General features: G+C 35.1%; 1 long non-coding RNA gene across 1 annotated transcript in view; it reads right to left on the bottom strand.

Annotated features, from left to right (window-relative positions):
* The window catches only part of LOC105370991 (uncharacterized), a 152871-nt gene that overhangs the window by 40448 nt on the left and 106241 nt on the right, over nt 1-6182 (bottom strand). The window contains exon 6 of the long non-coding RNA XR_002957693.2: nt 1179-1271. This is a non-coding gene — a long non-coding RNA (uncharacterized LOC105370991). The remainder of the gene's footprint in view (nt 1-1178; nt 1272-6182) is intronic.

The raw sequence follows: 6182 nt of genomic DNA, 5'->3' as shown, positions 1-6182 counted from the left end.
CACATTATCTGCAAAAGGTCGCAACCAACTTCCCTTCACTGTGGACACAGGAAGGGGAAATGAAGAGGGGAGAAGTTACTGATCTGATTCTAGAGGTCAAGGGTGTGGGAGGGTGAATGTACATTTCTCAATAGCTTTCGCTGCAGTGTGTGCTTTCCTTTGTTGACCATCCCTTGCTATTGTGTTGGGGAGTCTTTTAATAACACCCAGCAGAGTTGACTCAATGGCAATACCAAGATGAGAAAGACTTGGTAAAAAAAAAAAAAATTATGTGTGCACATTTGCCTGGCACATACACAGCAAATAACCAGCTATTTATTTCTGCAGGATATTCTGCGCCTGCAGCTTTTCTCACGTCATAGAGAGTTTCAACGTACTTAATTCTCACAGCATCTCATTAAAATAAGTGTTCTTTCACCACTCTAAAGTGAATAAGACTATAAACAGAGAATTAGGGAGGAGCAGTCCATTGCCTAAGATCACACAGCAAGCGGCAGGTCCACTGTTCAGAATCGATACCCACCCCTGCTTTTTCAATCTTCCAGGCTGCTGTTAATGTATGAGCACACAGGCTGCTGACGTGGAAATCAAAGTTACAATCTAGGACAACTTTTTCACATCAAAAGGGCAGTGAGATTATCTTTTGCATTTAAATTATTCTCTTCTGGTGCAGCAGGCTAATTAATGTTAGTGTATTTCCATTTTTCCAGCCCAGAGATCCTTGGATGACTCTCAAGGTGCCTCACTTGCAACCTGGGTCTCTTGCAGGCCTTAATTTCCGTAATGAGACTCCTCTGCTCCACTGTCTCTGCAGGGCTGATGGTAGCCCTATGGCTCTTCCATCCAGTTTATGGGGATTACAAAAGGAGCCTCAGAGTCACGTAATAGGCAGGACCACTGCTCTTAACAGGGTCCAGCATCTGGGAGGGCAAGGCCTGGCATGGGGTTGGGACAAGGCATGTTTACAACAGCCTAACCAGTGAGCTTGAGCTTTTCAAGACCATTGAGAGGGTACTTTGGAAATTGCAGGAGTGCATTCATGAATACGCAAATGTCTTTGATTTATTAGCATCCCTTAAGCATGAGAACTAATAGGGTAACACATCAAAGGTAACATTTGCCTTGTAAAGGGAGGGCTCTGTAAACATGAACAGTGGAAAGAAAGAAAGAAAACAGACCTTCTGTTTTGATGTCATATCCATCCTCAGCACCTGCTTCTGGTCGGAAGATGCAATCCTTCATTCTGAGTATTTCCTCTGGCCAAGCCCATACTTTGGGGCCAGAATTAAAGGGAAAGAAAAGGAAAGAGAGAAAGAGAGAGAAGAAAACAGAAAGGAAAGAGAGGAGAGGTGAAGCAGATAAATGGAAAAATCAGTGAGGACCCAGAAAAGTAATTGTTTGCATTTACTCTAAGTGTAGAAAGTTGTCTTCTTCATTGCTTAATTCAAGGACAAATAGTGAAAGTATTTTCTAGGGGGAAATAATGAGGCATCGAGAGGTTAAGTGGGCGGCTGGGAGGAGCATCCAGGGCTCTGACTTTCCGTCCCCATCCAGCTGCACTTCCTCCTCAGTTGGGGCCAAGTCCAAGACCACAAAAGACGCACTAGGCATCCAAATAAAGCAAATAAAACAGAACATGCAAACCTTTATGCAGCCTTAATGAAAGCAAATGGATGGGACATTTTAAAGATATAACTTTAACCAGACCATTGCCTAATGGCCATATTTTCAAGACAAAATGTATCACAATCACATACTAATTTAAATTATCACTCTTACAGAAATTGGATAGGAAAATTTTAAATCTGTATGCATCTCTGAAACATTTAGAAATGCATTGCTCTCCAAAGCTAAATTGTGAGGGAAGCTGAGAGCTTACACTTAACAACATAATTTTTCTTCTCCACCCTCAACCTGCCTTTTATGTTACTTCCTTAATGGTCTTTCTTAAACAAACACAAAAACAAAGATTTTCTTCTGATTTTAGAAGCAATAGAGCAATAGGTACCTGTTTTAGAAAATTTGGAAAGCACACAAAATTTTCAACAATAAAAATAAAAGCCACCTATAAAAGAAAACGTACCCTTATTTTGGAGCACCATATGGGGTAAGAGGCACCGGGAGTTAGATATGAACTGACCCAGGTTTAGCCTCAGCTCTGTCCCTCAATATTGATGAGTTTCCAGGAAAATTACTTAGCCCTTTCAGAACTCACGACGTCCTTTGCAAAATGGAGGTACTAAGAGTGCTTATATTGTAGGATGCCAAAGAGGACTAAAAGGTGTGTGTCCAGTGCCTGGCATGACAGCACTCAGCAGGTTTTATTGAGCACTAACTCTTTGCCAGATGGTAAATTCAGCTTTATATACAGATTATCAAGTTATCAGTGGGGGAGTTGAGATTTGACACCCCCACACACACAAAATAAAAATATTTTGTTAAAATTCTTGCGATTATGTTTCCCAGAAATATTTTTCTAAAGTTGATATTATAAAATATGTATACTTTTACATGTTATGTGGAGTGCTGTAGCATAAATCCCCTGATAATATAGACACTCAAATATTTGTGACAGCTGCATAATACTTCAATATAGACTACTACATGGTTTACTTAAGTAATCCTCAATTATTGGACTTCTAAGTTTTTGTTTGTTTGCTCATTTTTTGAAGAAAACACTTTTGTTTATTAACCTTTTAAGGAATGTTAGATTTCCCTTTACTTAGAATAATATGATTGGGTCAACATTAAGGTACATTTTAAAGGTATAAGTTTCATTTCATCTTGATGAATTACTTTCTACATTATTACGTCAATTATTCACAAGTTAATATATAAAGACAATGCAACTCCAATTAAAACCCTAAAATGATTTATTTGAAGATAGGCTCTTTGACAAAATATTCTAAATTTCACCCAAAACACTAGTTGTTAGAATAGATAGAACTTTTTCTCAAGTGAAAAGTTGAGAGCTACAAAAGTTCAATTTCCTTAGTTCTAAAAATTAAAATGAAAATTATATATGTATGTATAATCGGCTGTGAATTTTACTCTCTGGATATAACAGCAATTTGGTCTTACTATGGTGCCCCAAGATTTAAATATTATGCTTTTATGTTTAAAAATACTACAAATCAAATAACCCCCAGTTCACCACAGGTAAGCCCGTCAATACGTAGAATTCTGGATTTTTCCCCAAGGCTGTGGGGTTTGCATATGCACGATAATGACGGCCAAAAATCTCACTTAGAACACAACATCATACGACAGAAATATTTACCAGTTGTTCTCAAAAAATAAATAGGGGTAAAAAAAAATTTATGGACAAATGGATTCAAAATCCCAAATTGGGACCCCAACTATGTAATGACATCCCTGCTTCATCTCAGCTCACCTGCCCACCAGATAGGAGCTCCTGCCTCAGTTGCTGGATGTATCTGGTGGCTTAGTTAGTGCAGGGTTTAAGGCAGGCAGGGTGAGGGCTGCTTTTGAGTTGGTAAGGGAGGCTGGAGAAGGGGATGGTAAAGCTCAGGACTGTGACCCTGTGGTGTAATGCTTGTCAGAAACTTGAAACTCTTCAGCCTTTCTCCCTTCCCAGTGTTATACATTTGGTCAATTTGTTTCGATTCTGCTTTTCCTAGCTTTCTCAAATCTTCATCCCCATCACATCCTGGCTATTGCTTATCAGCTCAAATCCTCATTATCCTGATGCATTTAGAAGGCAAATAAATGCAGCCACAGCACAGTGAGCTACAAGGACTTGGCTGAGAGTAAGATCAGAACTTCCTGTGAGGAAGCTACCATGGACTGTAAAGGAGGTCATTTAAAGCCCTTGTTAGATGTAGTAACATTCCTTAAAATCATGTGGTTTGCATAGGATTAGGGCGCTTGTAAGTCATCTGGAAAATGCATACTCCTAAAAATCAGTCTTTCCTTAGCCTCTTCACTCATAAGCTACTTTTCGTACTCCTTATGAGAATATCCTTTTCATTAAATATTATTATATATTGGTTTTAATGTTTGCATAATATTTACTTTATGAATGTATCTGGATTTTGTAAAATACTCAACCTTTGAAGACTTAGATTTTTTCTTTCTAATTTTGACTTGCTATAAACTACACTAGGATGAATATATTTTTAGCTATTGCGTTATAAATGTTCATGATTATTTTCTTAGGACAAATTCCTGGAGAAGGAAATGCTGCACCAATGGGTACACGAGATGCCTCCCATAAAAATCATACCAAGGTTTATGCCTACCAATAAATACATATAATAAATGTATACATACACAGACATAAACACACCAATGTATAAGCCAATGAATAGCATATATATGCTCACATGCTTATACATATATATATTATATAATTGTCATTTTCAGTTTTTAGAACTAAAGAAATTGAACTTTTATAGTCCTCAAATTTTTCACTTAAAAAAATTCTATCTATTCTAACAATAAGTGTCTTTGGTGAAATTTAGAATATTTTGTCAAATAGCCAATCTCCAGATAATTTATGTTGGGGTTTTAATTAGAATTGCATTGTCTTTATGTATTAACTTGTGAATAATTGACATTTAACAATTAATTTTTGGATTAAAGCATTCCATGTTTCACTATTTATTCAAGTTCTTTTAAGTGTCAGAAAAATACTTTGTAATTTTGTAAGTGCTTATTGATACAAGAATTTCTAGACATTTTATAATATTAGTCTTATAGTAAATGGGATATTTTTTAACGTTAGAGTCTAACTGATGTGGTTATCTATAGGCAAAAGTGTTTATTTCATTATGTTAACTGTGTAACTAGTAATTTTAGAGCTTCTTTTATCAATTCCTGTAATTCATTTTTTTTAGTTAATTATTTTCAGTTTTCCAGCCAGATATATTATCTGCAAATGATAATTATGTTTTTCATTATATATATTTAATTACATATATTATCTGTATTATATGTTTACAGATATAATTTTTTATTGTGTTGTATTTGTTAGCATTTGAAAACAACATTACACACAATGATGGGAATAGTTGGAATTCCTTTCCCTAGCTTTTTTTTTTTTTTTTTTTTTTAGACGGAGTCTCGCTCTGTCCCTTTCCTAGCTTTAATGAGAATATCTTTAGTGAATTACAGTTAGGCATAATATTGGTGGCTTATTTTACCAGAATATAGTATTTATCATGCTAAAGAAATGTCATTCAATTTGCATATATTTTATTGGAATAAAATATATTTTATTCCAAATCTATGTTGAACTCTACCAGATGCCTTTTGGCAGATTTTTAGATGAATATATGGTGTTTCTTCTTTGATATATTGATGAGGTAGCATATTAGTAGGTTTCTTCACATTGAATGATCCTCATACTTATAGGATAAACCCCATTTTAGCATGGATGTTAGTCACTTGATATGATACTGCCCTGGCATTCTGTAGTTATGGAAAAGTTGATTTTCCATCTATACTCAAGTCCGAGAGAAATTTACTTTGTTTTTAGCGTGTGCCACCTCATGATAATAATTGTAATTTTCTATTTTTTTTCAACCTTGAAATTAGTATAAGAAGTAACTATTCCTTGATGTGTGAAACTCTTACATGCAATTAAGTGATGTGCCTTTGGTTGGACATAAGGTGGACATTAGAAGCAGCTGTATTTTGACAAATTTTCAAATTCCTGCCAGAGTTTTTGGACAAAAAGTTTGTATGTATAGTACTTAGTAGAAAACCACTTATTTTAACAAAATGTTCAACTTTATTACCAGTGAAATGAAATGATATTTCCTTATAAATGGTCTACTGATTCTTTTTATAGATGTGAAATTTTTAAAAATTTGTATATAGGTTTTTCTGTCCTTTCTTCTCAGTAACAGAGATCTTTTCAAGAAACTATCCTCAAGAAACTAGCCTTATTGGGCTTTTCAAAGTCCATTCCAGATTAACCAATATTTACTGCTCTTTTAATTCATTAATTTCTGCTTTTATCTGTATTATCTTCTTTCTTCTACTTTCCTTACATTCCATTCATTGTATTTTTTTGATTCAGTTGAATATGTGATTTATTTACCTTCTTTTTAAATTTTTTGTGCTTAACAAACACTAATACAAATCACTTTGATTTTTCTTTACCTCTACAGTATGGCCATCCCTACCCACAGCATAATTTCTAGGTCTGGTGGTAA

The sequence above is a fragment of the Homo sapiens genome, chromosome 15 (assembly GCF_000001405.40).
Source record: "Homo sapiens chromosome 15, GRCh38.p14 Primary Assembly".
Classification (NCBI taxonomy): Eukaryota; Metazoa; Chordata; class Mammalia; order Primates; family Hominidae; genus Homo; species Homo sapiens.
The sequence above is the reverse complement of the archived record's forward strand: the minus strand, read 5'-3'. Positions and strand labels throughout refer to the sequence as shown.